Source organism: Homo sapiens, chromosome 10 (genome assembly GCF_000001405.40).
Source record: "Homo sapiens chromosome 10, GRCh38.p14 Primary Assembly".
NCBI lineage: Eukaryota > Metazoa > Chordata > Mammalia > Primates > Hominidae > Homo > Homo sapiens.
In genome coordinates this window covers 124,064,849-124,091,915 of record NC_000010.11, presented here as the reverse complement: position 1 = coordinate 124,091,915, position 27,067 = coordinate 124,064,849, and the positions used below count along the sequence as shown (strand labels likewise).

The 27,067-nt window shown below is 49.2% G+C and overlaps 1 protein-coding gene across 21 annotated transcripts in view, besides 2 other annotated features; it reads left to right on the top strand.

Moving 5' to 3' along the window:
• The window catches only part of CHST15 (carbohydrate sulfotransferase 15), an 85,931-nt gene that overhangs the window by 1,683 nt on the left and 57,181 nt on the right, over positions 1-27,067 (top strand). Inside the window, exon 2 of one of the 21 annotated variants that reach the window (XM_047425327.1) lies at positions 7,617-26,152. The exons of 18 other annotated variants lie outside the window; for them this stretch is intronic. The gene's annotated coding sequence lies outside the window, so the exon portion shown is untranslated. Of the gene's footprint in view, positions 1-24; positions 26,153-27,067 lie in introns of those variants that run through there. 2 more of the 21 variants (XM_047425331.1, XM_047425325.1) reach the window with 2 other exon arrangements.
• Positions 17,440-17,939: an enhancer, noted in NCBI's record as "H3K4me1 hESC enhancer chr10:125833493-125833992 (GRCh37/hg19 assembly coordinates)". NCBI's record gives its function as "activates a minimal SCP1, AML or CMV promoter by ChIP-STARR-seq in naive H9 embryonic stem cells {active_cell/tissue: H9 hESC(naive)}" and the evidence as "EXISTENCE:reporter gene assay evidence [ECO:0000049][PMID:30033119]".
• Positions 17,940-18,441: an enhancer, noted in NCBI's record as "H3K4me1 hESC enhancer chr10:125832991-125833492 (GRCh37/hg19 assembly coordinates)". NCBI's record gives its function as "activates a minimal SCP1, AML or CMV promoter by ChIP-STARR-seq in naive H9 embryonic stem cells {active_cell/tissue: H9 hESC(naive)}" and the evidence as "EXISTENCE:reporter gene assay evidence [ECO:0000049][PMID:30033119]".

The following is a 27,067-nucleotide window of genomic DNA, read 5'->3' as shown; positions in this document are numbered from 1 at the left end:
CCGGGGCCGGCCGGCGCGGCTGGGACGGCGGGTATAGAGGAGGAAGGCTGGGGCTGGGTTGCCGGCTGCTGGCGGCTGGAGGTCCGCGCCCAGTGTAGGGAAGTCTTCGAAGGAGGCTGCCAGGCTGGAGGCTGGGACCAGCTCCTGGGGGCGGGGGCCCTTCTTCGTCTGCCTGCGTGCGCGGAGCCGCTGTGACAGCTGGGCGCCTTCGCCTTGTTCACGTTGGTTAAGTTAATTGTACCGAGTTCTCGGGAATGAAGTGTGGCTCCGGGATGCCCCGCAGAGGGATGTGACAAGCCGGTCAGTGAGGCTGAGCAAAGGGGCTAACCTTGCCTCTGGGCGCCCTAGCAGTGCCCCCAGCCCCTCTTTATCAGCTGCAATTCCTGAGTGTTGTGGGATGCCTCGGTGGGTTAGGGTAGCCACCCAGCGTTGGGGCAGAAAGGCCTCGGAGGGCATCTGCACCCCCGAGGGGCCCTGAAGTAAACTGAGGCCTAGAGATTTGCCCAGCGTTTCTCCTGGACCCTCCTTGGACCTTCCTGGACCATTATCCATCCCCCGCTTTCCTGCTTCTCCTCCCAGGACCGGCAACCTTGCAAAATCAGGAACCCTCCCTTCCAGAACATGGCACTTACTAATTTTACAAACTGAATGTTGAACTAGGATCTCTTGATTGATACATAAAGACATACATAGATCATATATGATTTTATTCAAAGTAGTATAGGAATAAAAATGCCTTCTAAGTAGGTAGGTTTTTGCAAACAAGTTTTTCTCCCCCAAGTTCCTGAGAAACTGTCAGAAGATTTTCTTTCTTGCCACCTCCTAGATGGGCACACAGAGCTGGTGAGGTAAAGTGGCTTGTTATGGCCTTCCTGTGGGCACATAGGTGAGCTGGAGGTGGAGCTGCAGGTCTGGGCTTCCCTCCAAAGTCCAGCTCCGGAGGAGAGCCAGCTCAGGAGCCCTCTGCAGAAGTCCAACCCTGTCTTTGCGGCTCTCTCCTCTGGGCTTTGGATGATTGCAGTGAGCTGGCTTGTAGGTGAAGCATGCAGGGGTAATTCATCCAGGATATTGTCCAGGGGGGTGGCAGGCAGGTCGGCCCACAGTGGTCACATGTGTGCCTTGCTTTTCTTGGATGATCAAAGCTCGCCATGTCTGAGCCACTGTCCTGGCCAGGGACCCAGCACGGTCACCGTGGCTGCTGTGAGGGCTGCAGTTTCCTTCCACACCTTTGTCATCCCTGGTTGCTGCTGCCCCTGGCCAGGAAAAGTGAGATATCAGAAACATTTGATTTTTCACATGCCTGGAAGAGAGAAGATTAATTCCTGCATCAAGAAGAAGTGTTTGGGGAAAGGTTGGTAACGTGGGAAGCGGATTCTACTTATTTGGCGTCTTGAGAAACAGCAGACAAGAAATTCCAAGTTAACTAGCTGGGCCCCAGGAGTCTGCAGTAGGGGAAGCTGTAGATTAGTGCTGGACTGTGGTAGTCCAAGCCATTTCGAGTTCGGCTGGAAGGTCCCCTGCTAGTGGAGGGGGCTGGGGAGAAGAGGGAGACCCCAGGGCTGTCCTGAACAGGTGAGCACATGCCCATCTACAGGGGACAGACTAGACTCAGCTCCAGCCAGTTGGGGGGAAAACAGTGTCAACAGGTCTTGTGAATTTTCGAGAGGATTCTCCAGCCTGGGTATTTAAATGTGGGCTCAAATTCTAGAAGTATGGTAGAGGGTTAGGGGTGAGTGCCCTTCCAGGAGGTCTGAAGCTTGCCATCTGGCCCGGTGCTTATCTATTGGGAAGGGTGTCACTGCATCAGAGAGCAGGGCACAGGAGCCACACCCATTGTGGGCCCAGGGACTAAGAACTGATGGCTGCCCATCATGCCTGCGGCCAGGTCCCTAGGCTGGAGGTGAGGCGGGCAGAGCTCCTTCATGTACTCGTGTGCCATGTGTTCATTCAGCAGCTGTTGAATGAATTGCCATGATGTAGAAAGTCATCTGCATGAACCTTTTCATATAATTCCTTTCACCAAATAGATCCTACAGCTGAGCCTCTGGGATGATTTGGCGGGGCTAGGACAGACAGGGTCCCAGCCCTCATGGGATGGGGACAAGCGGAATTGGCTGTGTAGACAGACAAATGGTCCAGAAGCTGCCATAAGAGCCCAGAAGGGTGGTGATGCAAAGCAAGGCTTGGGAGCAGGGGTCAGGGAGTGGAGGGTGGACTCGGGGGAGTGTGAGGAGTCTCCTTTTCAGGTGTGGACATTGAATTTCAGAGCAGTGGGTGGGAGGCACCCACCCCCTGAACAGGGGATGCTCAGGTATGATATTAAGTTGGGAGTGACTTGCCCAAGGTCACATAGCCAGTAAGTGGAAAGTCAGGGGGTCTCTGATCTCCAGCTCTTGGCCAGCTCCTTCATCTCCACTGTACTGGGCTGAGGCCTCTTAGAAACTCCCAGAGGTGTGGACACTCCCTGTAATTGGCAGCTGTCATTTTTCCCATCTACACGTTCAGGCCCTGTCCCCGTTCCTAGGGCCTCAGCAGGCCCAGGATTGCAGAGATGCCATTTGGAGCATATTTGTATGAAAGAAGAGTCGTCTAAATTCTAAAAGCAGAGACTGTTTTTAAAAGTGGTAGCTGACTTGGGAGTGTCATTGATCTGAGCAATCAGCCAGCGGACTTCTCTTTAGCAGCTTGTGATTTGGAAGTGACTCAGTCACTGGTGAGAATCACGCAGCCTCCCTCCCCTTCTGGTCTGTAAAGGGGATGCTCAGGTATGAGATTAAGTTACTTCAAAGGGTCACTCTGTTCCAGTGCTGTGAATGAGGAGATCATGTTTGCACTTAGCTGGCTAAGTGTTGGGAGGCTGAGTGTTTCCACTGCTCAAGGCATTTCTTCATTGGCCTGCAGTATGAGGGTCTGATTTCTTTACTGAGATAGTTTCTCCTTTCAAATAAAGCACTGGGACAAAATGATTTATGTGTAGACCTGTGTCTCCACAGCAGGAGATGGACCATAAATGGAACAGTTATCTAATTAGTGTGTCCAGTCTAGGTGTCTAGTTAGGAGTGTCCAGGAAGAAGGAGAAAGGTTTTGTGTCCATTTGGGCCAACATAGATTTTTTAAATTGTAACTATGGGAGTTGGGGAGGAAGACAGTTCATCGCAAGACCTATCACGTGCTGCGTCCCTATAGGTTTGAAGCTGGCCCTCTGCTAGACAGGTCACACAGGTATATCCCTTTGTGTCCTTTAAAGGGCTGGGAAGCTGTTGGAGATGACACACACCAAGCTCTCAGCCATCCGGATGTGCAGGAGGAGGGATTGGGAATGACGGTAGAGGCAGGAGGGAAATAAGGGGGTGAGGGGAGAAGAACAACTGTGGCTCCAGAAGGAGGAGGCGGCGTGAATCAGCAAGTGGTTAAGTTGTGGGGAGGTGGCAAGTGGGAAGCAGTTTCTCATCTTCGCTGATTTCCAAAGGGATGGAGAGGAAAGGAGGCTGTCTGCAGCAGGACCTGCAGCGTTTCTGCCCTGCAACCCTGGGCCAGGTGCATGGGGGCAGAGAGCCAGCGCTCAGCACAGAGCACAGCACTCAGATCAGTGGGCGAGGCGGAGCTCGTGCAAGTCAGAGTTATGTAACGCCGTTGACAGGCACCTTATGGGGCTTGGCAAAGTGCAGCAGGAGCCCGGGGTAGCGACTTTGAGATTGGAGTGTTCCGGGAAGACTTCGCCCCCTGGCTTGAGGGCGGGTGTCTTTTCAGAGTTAATACCTGCCAGTGCTTGGCACAGTGCCTGGCATCCAGTAAGTGCTCAGTAAACACTGGCTCGGGTGATATTCTTCAGCCCCGGAGCTCCTAACCGTGCATGTCTCCATATTTGATTCCAGTATATTCTACCTCAAAGGATATAGGCAGGAGCCCCTGCAAGCCTTGGCTCCAGCTAGGTTTCCTTAGGGTGGTGGCTTCACTCTCTGGACTCTGTCTCCTCATCTGTGCGAGGAGAACACTGGTAAACAGCTACCCTTCAAGACCCTTCAGCTGACCTTGCAGCCAGGCTGTGGAGCAGCTCCGCTGTGCCCATATTTGATGCAATTAACCAGAGAGAGGAGACCGCGTGGCTCTAGGTGGAACTGTGCTGGTGTAGCTCGCTTGTGAATGTTACATCTCACCCCACTCTCAGCTTAAAAGAGCCCAGAGGGGGCCTGGAGGGCGGGGGGGTGGGGGCTCCTGGCTTCGGCAGGCTCTCCCTGATGCCTATTTTACATTTCTAGAACTTATCGTGGCCCAGGCCTCTTAGATCTCTGAAGAAAGTAAGGCTGGCAGATCCTCAAAAGCAGAGGGTATCATTATAATGGAAACTTGGACACTTTCCAGAATTGCATTTGTGGTAAAAATATTGAAACAGACAGTCCAGGCACCCAGGTGCCTGGAAAATACCCCAACATGGGCAAATAATTAGATACAGGCCAGGCACAATTATGTTTTTCTGACAATAGGCTGGAACTCGGTGGCTTAGCATTTTCTCTTGAAACAGAATACGCCCCTGCCGGACCCTTTTGCTCCCTGTGGTCAAAAAGATAGTGGTGTGGCCAGCAAGGGGGAGGGCATACAAGGAGAAGTGGCGATCCCATCCCTCCCAGGGTGGCCCTGGATCTATCTCAGGGAGGTTCTGTCCTGCTTTTGCTTTTCTGTGTCCCTGTAGGTAGCTGTCCCGAGGGACTGGGCCCGTGGCACCTTTGCTAGGAGGCCAGAGCCTGCATTTCAGAGTCTAAGAGGTCGAGAGAGGTGTAAGATGTATTATCTTACCCTTCCACGAAAGTGGTCTGGGCAGCTGTGTTCCCTTTTGTAACCCCTGGCAGCTCACTCATGCTGATGGCGGTAAGTTCACCTGTACCTTCACGTTTCTTGTCAGCCAAATATTTGGCGCCCGTGACACGGAAGCTCTTTTAGCCCAGGTGTTAGATCGCATAGGCACTGGGTGGGGCAGGGCAGGTAGTGGGTTGAGCCTGGGATCCACGCTGACTCAGGTTCAAGTTCATGCAGTGCTGCTTCGTCCCATTACTGTGGCTCTGAACAAGTGGCTTAGCTTGCATCTCGGTTTCCCCATCTGTAAAATGGGGTTAATGATCTCTACCTGGTTGGGTGGCTTGAGTATTTGAAATAGTACAATTCAGGGTTCAGGGGAGCTCCCCACATGGAATCACTTTTTTCTGGGTGAGGTCTAAACCTATGGAGAGATAGAGGAGGAGGAGGAGGAGGAGGAGGAGGAGGAAGGCAGGTGGAAATCCACATGCGATGGCTGTTCCCGACTGCAGCTGTTGTTGGAGAATGTGGCTGAACCAGTGGGCAAGGAAGTGGGGAACAGGGGCAGTCAGGCAGACCCGCCCACCCCATTGCCTGCGGAGCTGGAGGAGCCTCTCCCAGCAGGGCGAAGGGCCTCCTTACCATGGGGAAAGGCAGGGCTGGGCTGTCATGTCCACGCCCTCCTTCCATATTCCTGGGATGGTGTAGAAACCACCACGTATAGACAACAGGAAAGTTACACAGGGGAGCTTCCTCCTCATGGAAGGAAACATCTGGGGTGGCGGAGAACAGTCGCCCTGTGGCAAGGAATATGATGTGCTGGGCTCCGTGCCCGGCCCACGGTTGGAGGGTGGTCAATGGCATCTGTTAGGTACGTACTTGGTAGAAGTGGCCACAGTGTGTCAAATCGGTGTTGTTGTCTGCTGTAGGAAATAATCTGGCTTTAAATTCAAGAACATCTCTTTCCTACTTGTTGGCAGAGCATGATTGAGGTAATGGTGATCCATGGATCTCAAGGTCACATTCTAAGTTGAACGCAATTCACAGGGAGCTGAGGTAGTGGTTGACTCCTAGCCTGGGCCTGGAGAAGCTTCTCTGCCTCCTCTCTCTTGGTCCCAGCCCCCCACAGGGCCTGTGCTTTTACCAGACCTGGTTCTGTGTTTGCAACGAGACGCCTGGCCAGCCGGGCCTGGACCTGGCTACACTTGGGTCCCCCGGCCACTGGAGAGGGGGAGCCCCCACATTTGCCTACTTCATCATCGAGCCCCCCACCCCCACTGCCTTCAGGAAGCGTTTGCCAGTCATTCTTGCTATCTGCTCCCCGTACCTCCCTTCCCCAGCCAGGTGTGGATCCTTCCTCCTCTGAGCTTCTGCAGTTTTCCTCTGTTGTATTTCTCAACCTTGACCCTGTCCCACACTGTGCTGGGCTCCAGTTTCCTGGGTGCAGTCTGCTCTCCCAGCCTGATGAGGCTCTCTTCAGGAGGAGGGTGTCTGGGGCTCACGGTACATCCATGTAGCTGGACTCTCACTTAGTGGCCAGTGACTGCCATGTGCTGCATTAACGCGTCAATTAAAAATGATTCTTCCAAAGGCTAGGTTCTCCTGGAGGTTTTATGTGAACACTGAGTTTGATAGTGTGGCACAGGAGAGCTCACACTTGTCACTCAATTTCCCAAGGAGTCGAGAGTCTAATGGAATAACCTTGGATTTCCTGGCATTAGGTTTTGGGGCTATTAAAACATAGTGACCACAGTTTTTTGTGTCTTGAGAGCCTTAGGGGAAAATGTTATGGAAATTTGGTTGTTGTTTCAGGAATATAAGCGGAGCCGTCTACTCAGGCGAGAAATGTGGAGGCTGCTGGTGTTTCTTATAGCTGGTATAAATAGCTTGGCTTCAAGTTCCATGCTCCTTTGTTTGGAATGTAAATATTTGCATTAAAAATATAAAGTATGTCCTGGCATGTATTTTTAGGGACTATAATTTCCAAACCCCAAATCAGACTATGGGTCTACTGAGGATTAATTTTCTCTGCTTTGTGAACCTGTGTATGTAAAGAGTCTTCCAAATGTACACACCAAACCCTGTTTGCTTTGTGCATGGAAGGAACCGCCAGGATTACAAGAAAGCAGGGTTGCCCCGGGGAGTGTGGGCCGAGGGCTTGTGTTTCTCTCCACACACTTCTGATGGTTCTGCCTGGTAGCTGCAGCGGCTCAGGGCGGTGGGGTGGAGGAGTTTTGGCCGAGATCTTGTGGGTATCATCAGGGGCCTGGCTTCTCTGTTGTTGGTTTCCTGGACATCCAGGTGGGGATTTGGCTGCAGCTGGCTGACCTCTGTGTCACGTAACCAGACGCTTGACTTTGGAGTTGCAGTTGCTCTAGGAAGATGTTCGGGAGTTTTAGTGCCCTTTCTGTGGTCTGGTGGAGGGAGCAGGAGGTTCTCATGTCCGGTTCAGAGGTGAACTGTGAAGGCCTCTGTGTGGTGTCTTCCTCCACTGGATTCCTGGGGGCTGTTTAGCTTTAATTTTTCTATGAAGGACAACCTGGATGATTGGTTAATCCCTTACTGTGGGTGGGATGTCATCTCTGGTCTGGCCTCGGCCTGTTCTCGGTAGTGGGGGGCTTGATGGGCAGCAGGAGCTGGGCAGGCCATTTGCCCCTGGTATGGGGGAGCTTGTTCCTAAGGCTCTCTGGGCAGCCTTCAATGGTCACCTTCTGGCCCAAAGGCTCTAACGGAGAAGGTTGGGCCATGGAGGTCAGCTGGCCTGCAGGGGAGGACCGAATGCAGGTGGGCCCCCAACTGGCAACCTCCCTCTTGTCTCATCACAGGATGAAGGGCAGATGAGAAGACAGCCAGGAGGGTCCTGGGCCCTCAGCTGTGACTCCCCGAGAGGCAGGTACCAAGGGCTTCCTTTGTCCTTGCTTCCCAGCCAGCGCGTGGCCCCTGCCCTTGGGAGGGTCAGCTCCTCCTCCGTCCCACTGAACACTGATGCCTCAGGACTGGACTCCTTGGGGCAGCAGAGACCCTTCCGTCTTTCCTTCCCTAGCTCTGCCTTGCAAAGGTGCAGCCTCCTGAGCCTCAGAGTGTCTGACATCTCTCTGCCTAGGCACCCTCTCTGAAACATTGTGTGGGCTTAGAAACCGTGAGCCTTGGGAAGGACCATCTTCCTCTGAGCTCTGGGCGTGTTGAACTGCGGAGGCTTACCACTTCCTCGCCTGTGGTCATCTCCAGCCTGACCCATGGTGGCGTGATCCTCTCTCATCATCCGTCACAGTTTTTAATAAAGAAAATATGTTCCAGAAAGGCCGAGTCCCCATGCCGCATCAGGTCAGTGATCCAAGTGCATTATAGTGAAAGTCAGAGGAAATAGCTGCTTTTAGGACACGCTGAACTTGCCTAAGAAAGTTATTAGTGGGAATAAATGAGGGGGAAGAAAGCATGCTCCGACTAACGAGAACAGTATCAGCCTGACATTTTGTGTCGTCCTAACTTTGAAAAGCTATTTATACCCACTTGCTAGCAGTTTCTATGAGAAATTAGATATGAGGAGATGTACAGAAGAGAAGAGTGGGAGCTGGGTGACTGTGAGCTCCTCCTCAGAAACATCTTCCAGGCAAAAAAAAGGAAAAGAAAAAATCATTTGCTCACCTATCGACAATAGAAAATCCAGGGATCTTTTGCATTGTATAAAATTTGGCTCAGAGAAGAAAAATGATGTATTGAAAAGAAGATGAAGCTTCAGTTGCCATTTGAGTGGTGGAAAATAAATTTGCTTTCGGCCCTTAAAATGGAAATAAGTCGATAGAAAAATGCAGGCCTGCCCCCTTTTGAGTCAGCAGTTTTTTTGGTTGATGAAAGGGTGAGAAGACGTGCTCACTGGAAGTCACCCGCTGGATCACTTAGGAAGCCGCAGAAGTGCCGAAGGACATGCATGTGTATCTTTCAAAGTTCTCAACTGATTTATTAAAAAAAATCATAAAGCAGACTTTTGAAAAACCTGTTCAATCTATTCTTCTTTAACAGCTTTACTGAAATGTAATGCACACACCATAAAATTCACCCAAAGTATACAATTCCATGTTTTTTAGTATATTGACAGATACGTGCAACCACTACCACAGCTAATTTTAGAACTTTTTTTAATCTCAAAAAGACATCTTGTACACCTTAGCTATCACCCCTTTATCTCCCCATTCCCCTACATGTACCCTTCAGCCTTGAGCAACCACAAATCTACTTCTTGTCTCTGTCCAGCCCAATTCCTCTATTGTGGACTTTCGTATGAGCAGAATCACATAGAATGAGGTCTTTTGTGACTGGCTTCTTTTACTCTGTGTAACTGTCATGGTTCATCCATGCTGTGGCATGCGTCAGCACTTCCTTCCTTTTCATGGCTGAATAATATTCCATCGCAGGGATAGACCACAGTTTCATGGATCCATTTGTCCATTGATAGACATTTGGGTGGTCTCCACCTTTGGCTCTTATGAATGAGGCGGCCATAAACGTTTGTGTACAAGCTTCTTTGGGTGTGGACATGTGTTTCCGTTTCTAGGGTTATGTTTTATGAGACGTTTTCACTTTCTTCTAATAATAAGATTCATTTTTTAAACAACACTCTTTCCCTGGCCCTAGAAAAGGCTTTGTTCTTAGATGGGATCCCGATCCCCCTGTCAGTGATCCTGGCTGAGATACTGAATTGTCTGAATTTTAGAGCTGGAAAGGCCTTCGGGCGAACGTGGTTCAGCCCCTTTTTATAGATGGGGAAGCTGAGGGCCAGAGAGGCCACACATAAAGAGACAGGATTGAATACCGGTTTTTGGAGTTACAATCCAATTACTCCAAAAGTTCTCCCTAAACTCTTACTAAAACCCCAGGTTGCCTTCTTGACTGGCCTGGGGCAGCAGATTAAGGTGGGTTGGGTGAACAGATGGTGGTTAGCTTGCCCTCTTTTATGTGATTATGGGTCAAGGTTTTCAGTCATCCAATGTACTCTTGCCTGTTTTCCTTTCACCCATCTGTCTGTCCATCCAATGTCCATCTGATGTCCGAGGCCCAGAACATCTCCCCATCCACCAGCGGCCGAATAAGAACAGCACCTTGTGGCGCCAGCATCTTTCTAGTTCTTTCTCCCCTGCGGTGATGGGCGGCCCGGCTGCTTATCCGGGGAATAATTAAATTAGGAACCAATTCAGAGAATGAAATTTTATCTGATTTGGCCAAGCCCGTAATAAGCAAGGGGCTGTAATTGTGACTCCAGGATACATTAGGAAGTTGTTTTTTCAAGGGTACGCTGGGTGAAAGCATTGAAAGAAATATGTGGAGACCAGGCCGGGAGATCTCCCTGGGCCAGGTTTCTTGCATGGCCTGGGGGTGTGGTCCCACAGGGCGGCTGTGTCCTCAGGCTGGTCCTTCCAGCGTTTATGTTTCCAGGCACCATTTAGCTCTGATGAGGTAGATAAAAGTGTTTTGTGGCTGGAGTGTTCTCTGTGCTTAGGAAAGTTCTGTTAAAATCCTTATGGATATCTATCTCATTGTTATCACTGATATTCTAAAGCACCTTTACAACTGTAATAAGAAGTAAACTTGGCAGAAACTCTGTGGCTATAAATCAGGGGTGCCGCTTTGCAACCCCCACGGAGCTTATTGAAAGAAATGCACATACTTTGGTCCTACATCAGCTGTTACATCAAGTCTCCGGGGATGGATGCTGGGCATTTGTGTGTGTGTGCACGCGTGTGTGTGTGCATGCGTGCATGTGTGTGCATGCGTGCATGTGTGTGCATGCATGGACCTGGATTCGTTAAGCTCTTTAGCTAAGAAACGCTGAGGGAACTTAGCAGTGATTGTAATCATTCTTCTAATGAGAATTTCCAGTTCTCCTATGGCAAAGATAAGGGACAGATAATTAGCACAGTGGTCTCAGGAATGAGCCTCATTTGTCCTCAATCTGTGATGAGACTTTGTGACTGTCTTTGAGTTTCATGTTCAGATTCCCTGATTGTAACTAACACACATTGTTCATCACTTGGTAGCAGTGGTGGAATTTTAGATCTGTTTTTCTCTTGGGGAAGGACCCCATTCTCATCCCCACAGTGGCCCAGGCTGGAGGCCCAGGAGTCTCCTTTGACAGATAGCTGGTCAGTGCAGAATTGCTTCCTTTGTGTCTCTGCCACTGGAAGGTTATCTGTTCCTTCAGAACAGGAAATGTGTCTTATTCAACGTGGCATCCCCAGGGCCTAGTCCATGGGAAAGAATGATTGGGCCGATGGACAGACAGATGGGTGAAAGGAAAACAGGCAAGAGTATAGTGAATAATTGAAAACTTTGACCCATAGTGCAGGGATGGTGAGTGTCTTTCAGATCGTCTGTTTATAGCTGGGGAAACGGAGGCCTGCAGAAGTCAGTGACTTGCCCTAATCCTTCAGCTTTGATCAAGAAGAACATTGGGGAGCCTGGCCCTTCAATGTCTTCAACTCTTCTGACTCAGGCTCTGCACATCCTCTTGAGAGTCACCCTCCAGTGAAAAGAACTCTTTATTGAGGCCCTGCTGTGTACCCCATGCTGTTCTAGGAGCTGGGGATCTAGCAGTGAGTTAGACACACAGGGTCCCAGTGCTCACAGAGGGCATATCCTCATGGAGAGAGACAGGCAGCAGACAAGGTCGCAAATATCAGAGAATAGACAGGCATAAGGGCCATGTGCTGGAGTGACCAGCTGGTGTGCGGGAAAGGCCTTTCCACAAAGGTGACATCTCCGTTGATTCTTGAATGTTCAGAGGGTGCTGCTGTCTGATGCTTGGAAGGAGGGAACAGTCAGTGCCAGGACCCCAAGGGGAGAACCTGTTGATGGGATGGGATTCATTTATGCTCGGGAGAAAGAGACTTGGTTTATTGGACGCCTGGGTTGATTTTCTTCTCTTCTGCATCCTCTGCACTGACATTTGCAGCTCTGCCTTCTCCCCGTCCCGTCTCTGGGTGAAGAACACCTGTCCGATGCTCGCTGGCCTGCAGCTGCTGCAGAGTTTCAGAAAACAGGGCTAGCAAAAAACAAAGCAAAACCCCAACATCCCTGTCCTCTCACTAAGGGCTTGGCTGGGGAGGCAGAGTTATTTTTATGTAAGCACATGCTTGAGGGGGTACGTCTTGGGGTGGGCAGCTGAAACCACACTCATAAAAACAAGACCGAAATAGGACTGTGAATTCCCAAAGGTGAACACAGGCCGTTAACTTGAATTTGGTGACAGTTCCATGCAGCCTAGGTCCTGGAGCGGGAACCCTTTGGAGGGGGATGAGGCATGGAAAACTGTTTGCTGATTTGGCCTCTTCTTTAAGCATTGCTTTCCGGCCCTGGCTGTGACAGAGACCTGGCCCTTGCTCAGGATTTGAGCCCCCTCAAGGGGAAGTTCTTCCTCCCTCCTGGTGCTGCCTCCAGCTGTTTCTGTCTCCTCGTCAGTAAGAACCTCTGTTTCTTGAGGGCCCTCCTGTTGGTTGTCCTCTTGTTGCAGCCACCTCCCTACCTGCGAGGGAGTGGGCCCCAGGCTGCCTCTCCATCCCAGGTCCTGCTGTTAACCTGGGTAACCGTGGTCTCCATGGGGCAGCACTCTGGCCTCCCAGGTCCTGCATCAGGACACCCTGAACCTTGTCTACTCCTGGACTGCTCCATACCACATGGAGTCCGTCCTTGTTAATGACGTGTTAATGCCAGGCTTTCTTGTGGAAACCACACCCAAGACACCAGCTGGTCAACCTGACACACAGTAGGGCCTCAACGGATTGTGTCATCAGTTATTTTCATAAACTTTAAATCTCTTTCTGGTCTCCCCAGACATCCTTAAGAGTGATCCTTTGTCACATTGCAAAGTTTTCCCAATAAATATTGGTCAGTAGTTGTGACAGTAATATACATCTCCATTTTATGTTGTTGACTAATTTTTAAATGGTGGACAAAACATAAATTTTTCTACATTTTAATAAATGGAAAGATAAAAGAAATTTTTTTTTCTGAGTAGTTTGGTTTAGAATCATTCCAGTTGTTCATTCAGCATCTCTTCCCAAGTCACATGAGTCCTACACCAGGCAGCTGTGGCTGTATTGACATGCTGAATGCTTGCTCAGAGTCCCCATAATCTCTTGGCACTCCTATATGCTGCCTCATACTTTTATTTTAATTTTTTATTTTGAAATAATTTCAGACTCACAAGAAGATGCAAAAATAGTAGACTCCCTGTGTACCCTTCACTCAGCTTCCCACAGGGAGAACATCTTATGCAACCCTCAGACATGATCAAAGCCAGGAAACTGACACTGGTACAATAGCATTAACTGAGCTGCAGACCTTATTTTTCTTATTAAACCTAGGGATCTACAGCATTTTAGAAGCATTTTAGAATTTCATAAGCTTTAGCATTGTTGTTTGTCTTTTAGAGGATGTTTCAATCCCTTCCAATTGACAATCAGTTAAAATTCGTTTCCGTAAGTTCAACAAATACTGGAGGATGAATTTCACAGGTTCCACGGGTCCACATGGCGCTCTATGGGTGCATCGTCTCTGATGGGTGCACAGAGGTGACCTTCTACCTCAGATCTGAGAGATTCTGAGACATAAAGAACCTTAGACAGTAGTTTGGTTTATAGGACAGACCAGGGGAGCTGGAGTTCTGATAATGGAAACCAGGCTGCATTGAGTATTTAGTATGCTTTAGGTTTTATCTACTTTATTTCATTTCATACACTCAGCAACCTTTGAGGTAGATACAGTTAACATCCCCATTTTACAGATGTAAGAACTGAGTTCAGAGGAGTTCACCCTGCCCACATTCCTGCAGCTGGATGGTAGAGTTGGGCGTGGAATATAGGCAGTGTGAAGTCAGAGACTGCTTGTTCTTAACCTTGCCGGGCTCCCTCCTTGGCTCAGGCCTGCACAGTGACTGCTGTGTGCCCTGGGGCTGTCCTGACTTCTCTGAGTCTCTGTTTCTTTACCTGCAATGCAAGAGGCTTGTGTGAGATCTGCCGTGTCCCTTCCATTTCTGAGTGCAGGTGGTTTTATTGGTGAAAACAATTCTACCCGTAGAGCTAGAAACACCCAAGCAACATCCAAATGAAATTTGTACCTTGCCCCTTGTAGGTGCTTTTAAGGTTGGTAGAATTTCTGCAGCCTAGTTTGGTTTGATGGGAGCCTCAATTCCAATTGAATTATGCTCTGGTGTATTTTAATTAAACCATCTACAAGCTGATTTTATAAAGAGGCAGAATCCCCATGTAGTGAGCTGTGCCTGCCTCCCTCTGTGCTCAACTCTGGAGCCGAGTGAGGCTCGTAATAACCAGAGGACTGTGCGAGCTGCTCAGGCTCGGCCTCATGGGCAGCATTAATTGTGAGATGCCACCGGAACGAGATGCGAGGGCATTATCAGCATATACTTAATTGATTTTGCATTCTCCACAAAGGAAGGTTAAAATTAAGCTTGTTTGTAAATGGTGTTTAAACTGCACAGGCTTGGGGATGAGTTGCAGAAACTAACAGAGCAGGGCACTGGTTGGAGGGCCTAATTTTCTCTTTAGGTGGTGGACAGAGCACATCACTCAACTAAGGTAAAGATTTTCCCATTTAAAGGGGCTGAAAGAGTGTAAGCCTCGGCTCGTAAATTTGACAGACAAGGCCTCCGCTTGAGTGCCTCAGGGATGGTCTGGACTCTGGGGATGAATGTGTAATCACATTAGCGTGATGAGTTAAAGGGCCCCATATTTTTAAATCCTCAGGCAGAGCTGCATTAGAGAAGATGCTGTTCGAGATCAGACTTATGATAAACAGGCTCATGGAAACAGCCTTTGCTATCCTCATTCCTGGTATAGAATGTAAGATTCTGATTGTCATTCTGACATGCCCCAGGAAAGGTCTCTGCTCAAACCCAAGATGAGCTTTAAACCTGAGGTGGAATGCCGTTCTCTAAGTATCTGTTCTTTGGCTCTAACATATACCAGGAATGAGAACAGCACTCTGGGTGTGTTCTCACTCTCCTTTAATCCTGATAAGAAAACATTTTAAGTATCTCCAGATCCATCTATATAATTTGCAAGACGCAGTGCAACATGAAATGCATATTAAAAATTATTAAGAATTGGCCGGGCGCGGTGGCTCACGCCTGTAATCCCAACACTTTGGGAGGCTGAGGCAGGTGGATCACGAGGTCAGGAGATTGAGACCATCCTGGCTAACACGGTGAAACCCTGTCTCTACTAAAAATACAAAAAAGTAGCCGGGCGTGGTGGCAGGCGCCTGTAGTCCCAGCTCCTCGGGAGGCTGAGGCAGGAGAATGGTGTGAACCCGGAAGGCGGAGCTTGCAGTGAGCCGAGATCGCACCACTGCACTCCAGCCTGGGCGACAGAGCGAGACTCCGTCTCAAAAAAAAAAAAAAAAATTAAGAATTTAAAAATAGGGAAAGCAGAACAATACATTCTGTATAGGGTGTTTCTGAGCAAAGGGCCCTGTGTGATTGACCATGGGTCCACGCCCTTGGAGTTGGCTCTGGGATCTTGTAGGATGCTGATCCTAGACCAATGTGATTTATAGCAACTTGTGTGAATTGTGAACTCCCCGGGGGCACGGGCTGCAGCTGAATCACCTTGGTGTGCTGGGAGGGGTCTGGCTGGAGGCCTGACCTAAGCACACGCTTAGGAAATGCCCGTTGAGCTGAATCAACTAACTCATGGAGCCATCAGCCTGGTCTGCTGGGGAAATTTCATGTGACTTTCTCAGTCTCCACGCATCGGGAATCTGGGACAGTCTACCGCTAGGCTCTTCAGAACAGACAGGGACAAGGACCAACATTCTCTAATGAAACTCACTGACTTGACAGCTCAGCTTTGAGAAGAGAAAACCTGAATACAAAACCCATCTACATTATGTGTGTGTATAAGCCTCAAGTCCTGGTGATTTTTCACTGTAAAATGGAAAAGATTGACACACAGTGGCTCTCCAGTACCTCTGTGTGGTTAATGTGTGTGTCTGTCGTGACTCTGTGGCTCAGTCCCAAGAGAGGGGCAGCCCATCTCCCCTGGCTTTTCATCCCTGATGTCCTCCCTGTGAGCTCTGCTCCTCCCAGTGGAGTAAAATGCTCCTGGAGACAGTCTAGGATTTTAGGGGCCACTGTAGGTCATCCTTGTCATTCTGGATCCCGGAGAATGCCACCTTGCAAAGTTGAGGGGGGCATAGTGCATCTTGGTAAGGAAATAAAATCCCGCCCAGGAAGCATCTCTCCCTGGAGCAAGAGGCTTGGAAGGGCCCGGGACTCCTTTGTGCTGACTCTTTGTTCCTTCCCTGCAGGCTGGCCCAGACTCAGAGTTGCCCTTTCCCCTTTGCCAGTGGAGAGGGAGAGAGGAGCATCCAGGGCCAGCTGCCAAAGACAGGGGAGGTTCTAACCAAGGAAAGCCCGGACTTTTCAGGTTTTAAATTGGAAGAGGGCTTCTTGAATGAGCATTAAAGTTACTTTTTTATTGGAAGGGAGTGTAGGGGGTGGATGCTGTGCTCAGCATACATCAGGAGAGAGCTGCCCAAGTCAGATCTCTTCCGAGCAGCGTCTTGGGGGAGAGACTGTGCACCACCGCTAGATTTTCCTCCCTTTGTCCTCGGTTTGTACAGAGGTCACTGGAGATGTGAGCTCAAAGGGAGCCGGGACGCTGTGCTCTCCTCTCATTGTCACAAGTCGATGGGCCTGAATAGGCTGTGACACTTGAAGAAAGAAAGAAACCATCCTTTATACCTCCTGGCTGGGGAGAGACAGCAGGGCAGGAAGCCTGCAGTGCTGGAGGCCAAAGCTACTCCCATGGAGCCTCAGATGTGTGGAGGGAGGTCTGTGCTGTTCCTGGGTGTCTGGGATTGTACCCTCCCCACCGTGGGGATGCACAGCCTGTTCTTAACTTATTCAGCAAATAACAAACAGCACCTCCATGTTCAAGCAAAAGCTGGCTTTATTTATTTTCCCCATTAAGCTATCCACAGTCATTGTTTTCACTTTCAAAAGCAAAATAATAGGAAAAAACTTCACAGTATTTGTATTACCTGATGTAGGAGTCTGAGAGAACTTGAATAATAAGTCTGGCTTAGAAGTATTAGGGGAAAAATCTTGATACACAAAAGAGAAACAGAAACATGAAAAGAGGAATGTGCTGAAACAGTCCTCCCTGCAAAACATCATTAACTCCGCGGGGGCTGGGAGCCTGTCTGTCTTGTCCACACACTGCACCCCACTGCCTAGCACAGCCGCATTCAAAAGGAAAGTCAGCCCTGGCTGCTGGGAGGCAGTGGCGAGTGAGACATGCCCAGGTCCTGTCCTCATGGAGGTTAGAGTCTAGGAGGTGAATGAGGTGGAAACACTTAGGCAAAGGATCATTTAATTTCAGTTGTGATGAGCTGGGGACAGGAACGGGAAGTGGTCTATGAGCAAGTTTGCTGATGCCGTGAGCCCAGTCTGGCAGAGGCGCGGGGTGCATTGGAGAGCTCCAGGTCATAATGGAGGAAGCTGCGCGGAGGGAGAGGAGGCAGAGACTGCAGACGTGGCGAAGGTGTTGGGTGTGCAGGGGGATGTTATGTAAGTCCCCAGTGAGGTGCCTGGACCCAGAGTTCTCATTTTAAGGCTTAGAATGTGCTAGAATCCTTGTTTCTAGAGACTGGATTGATGATCACAACTGGGCGATGCTCCCAACTAGGCCCCCGCCCCTACCTGCCACCTGAATTGTGCCCTTTGCAGTTGGGTGGCACACTGTTTAGTGTCTCCTGCTCACTGCCTCCAGGGTTCCAGGGACTTGCTGATTTTCTGTCTCTACTGAGAGATTTGAGAAATTCTTGAAGCAACTTGCCAAGTAGAAACTGTCTAATGGCATCAGTGCAAGGGTTCGGTGTCTTTCCCAGCCGGGGGGCACTGGCCCTGCAGAAATGAAGTGGAAAGATCTTGGGAGGGAGAGCAAGCTACCTTCCCTGGGGGTGCAGCAGGCGTGACTTGAGCTTGCGCTAATCACACCCACTTCTGTCCTGAGAAAGTCTTCTATGGAAAGAGGCTAAAAAGACTATGTGGAAAATATCTCTTTTAAAGCCCCCATTTGAGACCTCTCCCCTGCCCTGTGTGTGCCTAGCCCGTAGGTTGCTGCCAAGGTGAGCAGGCCCGGGATGTGGCTGGGGAAGATCTACAGCCTCCTGGCCGAGTCCACCCAGGAGGAGCCATTTAAGACCCTGGAAACCCATCAGACCTGGCAACTGGAGGTCATTAGCCGTCTGACTGAGAGGCGGGTCGTAAAATAAGCCCTAAGTGGTTACGAGCTCTGTTAACCATTTTAAAATGCACAAACAGAGGAGCTTTGGTTTGGCGCCTCTGAAAGGAAATGGGCGTCGTCTGATGGGAGAACATTCGCCTTCATGGTCAAGGCGCAAGGACCAGCCTGCATTGGCTCATTCATGCGCCTGTCGAATGGTTGCTGTGCCCTTTGCCTCTTCCTTGGTTTCTGATGGGGCAGAAACTTACCACCATGTATCTAGCTTTCTTTTTTTGGTGAACTTTTAAGGAATTGGAGTATAACCTTCATGCATTAAAGAGCATCTATCCTAAGTGTGCTGCTTGATGGATTTTCACAAACAGAACTCACCTATGCAACCAGTACCTAGATCAGGTATACAGACAGCACCCCAGGACCCCTGGGCTCTGTTCTGGTCATTAACCACCTCTCAGCACCCATGCAAGGGAAATTGCTATCCTGACTTCCGCGGCCTGGGTTTTTGGCCTGTTTTGTGCTGTCTCTAACTGGAATCCTGTGTGGTTCTCCTTTATATCTGGGTTCTTTTGCTCAGTACTACATCTGTGAGATTCTTCCCTGGTGAAGCTTGTCCATTTTCGCAGCTGAATTGTATTTGTCCGTTCTACTGTGGGTAGACACTGTGTGATTTCCAGTTTTTGGCCCTACAAATAGTACAATGAACATTCTAGTTGATGTCTTTTGATCAGCATATGGATGCCTTTCTGTTGGGCACGTAGCTAGGATTGGAATTGTGGTCTTTGGGAGTGAGTACGCCCAAGCTTCAGTAGATAATGCCAGTGTTCCAAACAATTGTACTCATTTACCGTTCCCATCAGCAGCGTATGAGTCTCTGGAAAGATGAAATAAGAGCCTGGAAAAAATGTAAGGTGAGACTGACTCCCTTTTGTCCTCTGCCCAAGTTCCCAAAAAGAAGAGACCCTGGGGGATAACAGCTGGCCCTTTTTGCATTGAATGGGTGCACTGGAAGAGATAAGGCTTCTGGGATGCCCCAGAAAGATGCACCTGTCCCTCCTGGGGTTCTGCCCACGTGGTCACGTTTCACTGGAAGCCAGTCTGTTTCTGAACTTGCGGATGGGGTTGGTTGGTCTCTGAGAAGAGCCCAGAATTCAGCATTTTAGTCTCCATGCTTTGGGTGTCTGCATGCAATGAAGCAAAGCCTCCAGGCTCATCTTTGAGATGAAAGTGGCTGGCCTGGTGGCTGGCCTGGTAGCTGGCCTGGGTTTTCTCTTGGGAGGGCTTGAGAGCTGCCACCATTTAATGGCTCAGTCAAGAAAGGTTTTTATTTGTAGATCAGTCCAGTCTCAGAACCAAATGGTTCTGCACCCACCCCCTGGACTTCCAACCCAGTGTTCTAGGTGGAGAAAGAGCTTTCCCTGTGCCAAAAGCTGTTGTTTGGTGTGATGAGGGGTCCAGAGCAGTGGGAAGAGGCAGCTGACATTTACTGAGCCTCCTGCATGCTCAGGAGAACTCCGAATGCAGGTGTGCTGGTCTCCCCAACCACACAGGAAGTGGAAGAAGAGAGGACTCTGCACTGTCCCTGAGCAGCAGAGCCCCAGCTGGGGTGTGTGTCCTGCCCTGGCTCTGTCAAATTTGTAACTCACAACAGTGGCAGTGGCTGGCTAAAGGAGACTTGGAAGGAAGGAAAACCTGTGCCCGGGTTATTGCCCGGCTGTCTTCCCTACCCCAAGTAGATTCAGTAAATCGGGGGCAGGGCTTGGAAGCTGTTGGTAACAAATGCCTTAGGTGAGTTTTACTCAATTTGGGGAAGCAGTGACTTCCCAGACCCTTTTGATGAGAGGCTGGGTAAGGAGAGGAATGGAGGAAATAAGAAACAGATCTCACGCTCCAGGAGCGCCTGGCCTGAGCAGCCTCGTGCAGGAAGCTCTCTGAGGAGCTGGACAAGCTCTGTGTCTGCTGCTCCACAGGGTCATGCTTGAAATGTGACTAGGACGGCCGAAGAATGGAAATTTTACATCTCATTTACTTTTAACTAATTTAAATTTAAAAGCAGATACTTAATTCAGTTATTAGAAAACTTTTAAGAATGTTTGGAACAGCTTGGGTCCATAACTCCTTTTCCGACTCTAAGTCTTATGAAATCTAGATACAGCTCAGGTACTTCAGATGAAAATGTAGCATCCAAATTGAGATGGACCTAAGTGTAAAATACACACTGGAATTTGAAGACTTAGTATGAAAAAAATGCAAATTTTTAATTAATAACTTTTATACTGACTACATGTTGAAGTGGTTATTTTGCGTCTATTCGAGTTGAACTACATGAAAATTAACCTCACCTGGAACATTTAACCTAGGTATGGGCTCACACTCTGTTTTTGTTGGGCAGTGCTGCTCTGAGGCACTTTCTTGCTGGAATTTGACTCAGAGTGCTAGGGAGTTGGAGGAGAGGAGAGAAGCCCCAGCTGTGGCCCCTTGTTTGGCTCACGTGGGAGCAGGGTTTCAGGCTGATGGCACACCTGGCCCTATAGATGGCCACAAGGCCACCTGTGATGGGTCTGTTGGGCTCTGGCTGGCCTGTCCATCTCCTTGGGTACTTTGCCCAAAGAGGGAAACTGCCCGTTCCCTCCAGGTAGTGCCTTTAGAAAACGAGAATCTTCTCTAACGCTCTGGGCTAGGAAGAGAGAGCTGAGCACGTCTCACCCTGGGCTGCACTGCATCTCACACAAGTGGGACATGGCCTGCTGCTGGTCAGGGTGAGAACTCTGCCTTTAAGTTAGAATCAGATCAAATCAAATCAAATTGAATTCTTTACCCCAGTGGGGTAGAGAGCACCGCCAAATACTAAGCTACAGGAATGTGGCCCAGAAAGCAAATTAGGTTTTATTTCTGCCTCCTGCCTTTGCCCCGCTGTTTCTGGAAGAGACCCCATAGACAGTGCCGTGAAGGGCAGCCTACGGAGTCTGTGGCAGGCAGGGACTCGCAGGTGAGCCTGGTAGTGGGTCGGCGGGTTCTCATCCATGGTGCTCAGCCCGTCTGAGGTCATCTGCCCTCTTCTTCATTGGATTCTGGAAGCCTCCCCACCAGCCTGCGAGATGCAGCTGAACAGGGACTTGTTTTGTTTACTGCTGCATCCCAGGGCTCTACACTTGAGCCTGACATAGAGTAGGGCTTTAATAATCTTTATTGAGGGCCGGGCACAATGGCTCACTCCTGAATCCCAGCACTTTAGGAGGCCCCGGCCAGACAGATCACGAGGTCAAGAGATCAAGACCATCCTGGCCAACGTGGTGAAACCCCGTTTCTATTTAAAAAAAAAATCAGCTGAGCATGGTGGTGTGCACCTTTAGTCCCAGCCACTCAGGAGGCTGAGGCAGAAGAATCTCTTGAACCTGGGAGGCAGAGGTTGCAGTGAGCCGAGATCGAGCCACTGCACTCCAGCCTGGTGACAGAGCGAGACTCAGTGTCAAAACAAAAACAAAACAAAACAAAAAAACTTTACTGAATGGGTTCATTTGGAGGATGCCCCTTAAATCTGATGGTCAAATATGGCCTTCATGTTGACCTTCCTGAAGTGACATCCCCGTAGGTGGGCATATGCATTTCCCTTGGGAGAGATTCCCAGAGGGGCCTCTGGCTTGGGATTGGCTAGGAACCTCAGACCTACATTGTGTTTTTACTCTAGATCTGTAAGTGCAGATTTTTCTTTTTTTTCCAGAAACTGTTTCTTGGACAACACAGCAACTACTTTCCATTGCAAAGAAAAATCCTGTCCTTTGTGTGCTCTCTACAAAGCACTCACACAGCCAGGCTATATCATTTGTTCCTGACAACGTGCTGGGGGGGACATCACCATTTTCTGCATGTCCCCAGGAAATGGGCGGGACCACTTGTCCAAAGTCCTACAGCTAAAGGGAGGCACAGTGACACCTTAGATTCAGGGGAACTCCCATCTTGGGGTGACTTCTTTGCCCTCAGTATATTCCACATGTCATGGAACCTAATGGATAAATCTGGTTTGGTCAGGCCTGGAGCGCAGAACTGTTAAAGGCAGGCAATGAGAGAAAAATCTGCGTCCTTCCTCGAGGGATGAGCTGGCTGACTGGGAAGGTCCAGGCTCAGGCTGGCCTCTGCCCAGGTGTCCTATGGCAGGGGCTCATGGAGGAGCACTGTTCCTGTTTTCTGGGTCCCCTGCTCTGCCTCACCTGTTTAAAGTCAGTGACTCAAATTTTTAAAACTGTGAAACCGTAAACTGTCCATCCCTGTTCAGCCTTCCCCAGGCCACGGGCCCTGCACGTGTCACTGCTTGTTCATGGTTCTCCCCTGTGTTGCCTTTGAGGCTCACTCATCTTGATGACTCAGAGACTTGCCAGAGACCCTGGACTCCCCGTCCCAAATTCCCCGAGCCTGGCCCCGATGATTCTTGCAATGTTACTCTGTTCATGGTGCCTCTGCCCCATTTCCATCTGTGCCATATCACCAATAGTTGGGGGGGGGGTCCCCCAAACAACAGGGACTAACTTGAACTTTGCAAGACTCTTGAATTTCCTGGCTATATTTATTATCTGTATGGCACTGATTTGTACTAGAGCTGAGCCTGCAGAAGTCAGTTGAACCCATCCTCTCTATATTCAGGAGGACTACAGGATGTAGGAACTCAAACGGGATGTTGATCTGTGGGAGTTTGCAACTTTGCCTAGCAGCACAGACCTGCCTCCTTGGGAGAGGCCTCTGGGGAGGGATGCTAAGCCGATGGATGTCTGTGCAGAGACAAGGGACTGTCCTTTTCACCTGAGAGGCCATTCTCATCCTGCCTAGTCCTGTCTGATTCACATCTGACCCCAGCTTAGCCCAGACAGAGACATGCTAAAGCATGTTCTGATACTTTCTAGCTTCGATTATCTCCTTGTATGCTTTCTTTGTATACTTAGGGCCCAAAATACCATAAGGTGGAACATTCTAAAGTAAAAATGATCCCCTTTTTATTGTTTGAAAATTTGTGTTTCTTATTAAAATAGAACATTTTACAGTTATTCACAAGATAAGGTCTTACTTTAAAAATCACTATTTTCCTCTGTCTTTCTGACTTCTTTTTTTAATTCAAGAACAGGGATATTAAGGCAGGTGATGAAAGCAGAATTTTTAATAAGAGCATAGTGATGCTTTTCACAACGGACTTAGAAGACATTAAAATATATGTGTTTTGATCTTTTTCTGGATTTGAATATGAAGGACTAGTTATTGCAACAGACAGCAAAGTAATTCATTTCGGATGCATTTCAGCAAGCCAGCCCTCTAGGAGACGCTGGAATAAAATGTGGAAGTGTGTGACACAGACCAGACTGGACATGTACCCGGCCCATCAGCTAAAAAGCCAAAGAGCAGGTGGAAACAGGAATAACAGTGACAGTGATGGTTACCATGATGAGGAGCACTGCCAACGATTCCTGAACTTCCCAGGTGCCCTGTCCTTGCTTGGTGCTTCCCATGGATTATCTCAGTCTTCCCTGTGGCTCCATTAGACTACATATTGTCACATCATCCCCATTTTTCAGATAAGGAACTGAGGTGGGCTAAGTGTCAGGCCGTGGAGCCAGGATGAGAACTCCAGCTGTCTAGATAACCCATGTCCTGGTAACTGCCACTCTGCTCCCGAGTGGTCAGCATGTAAACCACTGCAGCGTGGGGACTGACTTCACCATCCCCTTGGCTCTGCCTCTGACCCCCCGAGCAGGTGAGAGCTCGAGCCAGCTATTCCGGGAATTAGGCATATACTCATTTTTTGCTTCAGTTATTTCACTAATTAAGGCAAAGTTTCTGGTAGTTTGACATTACGTATCTGGATAATTGCCTCAATGTATCATTTTCACTTTGCACCCGCAGACACAACCTTTAATGAAACTTGAAAACCCAACTCTCCTTGGGGGAAATGATACTCACTTCTGTTTCTAGGCCAGGCGCAGTGGCTCCCGCCTGTAATCCCAGCACTCTGGGAGGCCGAGGCCAGCGGATCACGAGATCAGGTGTTCGAGACCAGCCTGGCCAACATGGTGAAACCCCGTCTCTACTAAAAATACAAAAATTAGCGGGGCATGGTGGTGGTCGCCTGTAATCCCAGCTATTTGGGAGGCTGAGGCAGGAGAATCGCTTGAACCCAGGAGGCGGAGGTTGCAGTGAGCTGAGATCATGCCACTACACTCCAGGCTGGGTGACAGAGCAACACTCCGTCTCAAAAAAACCAAAAACACAAAAACCATCTGTTTCTAAATCTGTTTCTGAAAGTAGTTGAGGGCGCAGACTTCCACTTATAAGCTTAATTGCCCAACATGCAGAAGAAGTCTCCAACTTCCCTGTTTATCAGGCTTGAAAGTCAGCCTTGGTTTGGGGCAGATGGCCTGCTCCTGGTCCTTATCTGGGAGATGAGAGGTTCCGACAGTGTGATCTCTCAAGTGCCTCAGTTTGGATCTGAGCTTCTGTTCTAGCGGCTTCCATGCCCAACTGGATTGCATATCTTAGGAAGCAGGACAGAAGTGCACCTGCACTGATTACTGAGCAAATTGGTCTGAATAAGTGCAGTAGATGCCAGAGATTTCCACGAATGATGTGAATGTGATCACTGGCCAGAAAATATCCATGGACGATAAATATCTGGGCTTCATGCTCTGAAAAATGTTCCTAATCTCTTCTTTGTGATCCCCAAAGAGATTTTTAAGGGAGTTTGGAAGTCTGCCACTTGCAGAAGTCCTGGTGTTCCCAGCACTAAGTGCAGGATGTGGAGTCTGGGGTGCGACTGTCTTGTCACTCAGATGGGGCTGCATGCCCGGCACAGTGCTAAGTGCAGCCAGTTACTCTGGAATGTGCAAATGGCCCCTCTGCCCCAGCTGCAGAGCGCCTTGCGGGTGGCTCAGGTCCTAGTGGGGATAGGAAGAATGGGACAAAAGGAGGAGGCTAAGCCCAAGGCATGTGCTGTCACCAAAAGTGCTGGCTTCATCTCAGAAAGCTGTGGCTGGGTTGGGCTTGGTTGCTCAGGGGAACAGGGAGACGCAGCCCAGGAAATGAGCTGTGGCTGGGCTGGAGCCCACCTCCCCAGGAGGGAGGTGCATGGCAGCCCAGGTGGGGTGCCCCCATCCTAAGATGAAAGGTCTCCACCTCTTGCTTAAATTGTAAGGTGAACGCTTTTGGCCATTTCTAAGGAAAAGCACCTTTGGGATTTGTTCATCATCCTTCATTTTTGCTCAAGGTTTTGGGTGTGAAAACCTCAGAAAAACTAAGTCAACCAAAGACTTTCCAGCGATGTCATCGACTGTGTTGTCATCCAAAGGGGAAAATAATCCCAGCTTATGAATATTTAGAAAGAAGATAATTGCAAATTGCTTTGTGACCGTGTAAACTCGTTTTTTTTTTTCTTTCCCCCAGCCAGTTACATAAGAGGAGGTGTGGGTCAGTCCCAGAAATAGATGCAGAAGCAGTGACAGAACACGTCTTGGCGGTGGTGGAGAGAGACAGCCCTGGGTTCGAGTCCCAGACTCGCAGTGTGTTAGCTAAAGAAGTTTGAGAAACATCCGTCTCTTTCTTTCCATTTCAGCCTCCTCCCCCTTCCCCTAGCTGGTCGACGCTCAAAGCTCTCCTAGCCCAACACTCTGTAACTTGAGGAATAATGTTTTAAACCCCCAAATCTAGTCCTCCCATAAAACCCAGTGAATCTCTCAAATTGATTAAATGGAGGCACTCATTTTATTAGATAGGTAACTGGTATTTTGCCTTTTCTGAAGGGTAGAAGAGGGGAAAAAGTGACTGAGGGGACCAAATAAGAAAAAAAAGACAAAAAGACAGAAGAATTCGGGTTTTTAGTTGATTCCGAATACTCGATGCTTTTGAAACGTTTCCAAGTTTCCTTTACGGGAAAGGAATGCAAATGATCCAAAAGGGAGGAGGGATTTTTTTCCCCCTTCTTTTTTGTCCTGAGCTCAGTACCTGGGATTTTGCGGCATGTGCTGAAAAATTATATCTTCTGGGTGCAGAAATTTGCCTGAAAGGGTTATACGAAACTGAGAATGGGTCAAAACAAAACAAAACGGAAAAAACAAGACTTCTGGCCACAGGTAAGAATCATATAATTTACTGAGACATATCATTTTGGCATGTTTTGTTAAGGGTGAAAGCTAATTTGGAAGAGGCAGGAAGGGGCTCTTGAGGTTGGTGGGAATGAGCTGCCGTAATGGGGCCCGCAGAATCACCCTTGTGTCTGCTCCCAGCAGGACTGGCGGGGGAGGGGCAGGGAGTAGCTCTCTGTGGGTGTCGGGAACCCCAGGGCCAGTGAAGCCTGGGGCCAACCCCCAGCAGTCCCACAGCAGGGTTGGGTGACAACAATTTGCCTGAAAGTCATGGAGAAACAGGTTTTCAGTGACATAGAGACTAAGCCTAGAGGCAGAATTGTAAAACCTACCAAGTTTTATTACTTATTTACTTTTTTTCTTCTTTTTGAGATACGGTCTTGCTCTGTCACCCAGGCTGCAGTGTAAGTGGCATGATCATGGCTCACTGCAGCCTGGATCTCCTGGTTCAAGAGATCCCCCGACCTCAGCCTCCCAAGTAGCTGGGACTGTAGGCACCACCACTATGCCTGGCTAATTTTTAAATTTTTTGTAGAGATGGGGTTTTGCCTTGTTGCCCAGGCTGGTCTTGAACTCCTGGGCTCAAGCCATCCTCCCACCTCGGCCTCCCAACATGTTGGAATTACAGGCAAGAGCCACCGCGCTCAGCCCAAATTTTAAATTTAACCCCCGCCCCCAACATGTATTGGGCATTCTGTCTTTATGACTGGGCTATGTTTTTATGTGTGTTGCCTGCCTACCTTTAGAATTTTCTTCAGGACTTTTTTTTGTAAAAGCGAACAAAAGAAGAGACTCTTTTGCCTTCACAGAGCTGATAGGACTGTCAGCTGGTTAAGGCGGATGCTAGTCAGACAAGCACACACAAAAAACGGAAGTGGGAAGGGTTGGAGGATCAGGGCAGGG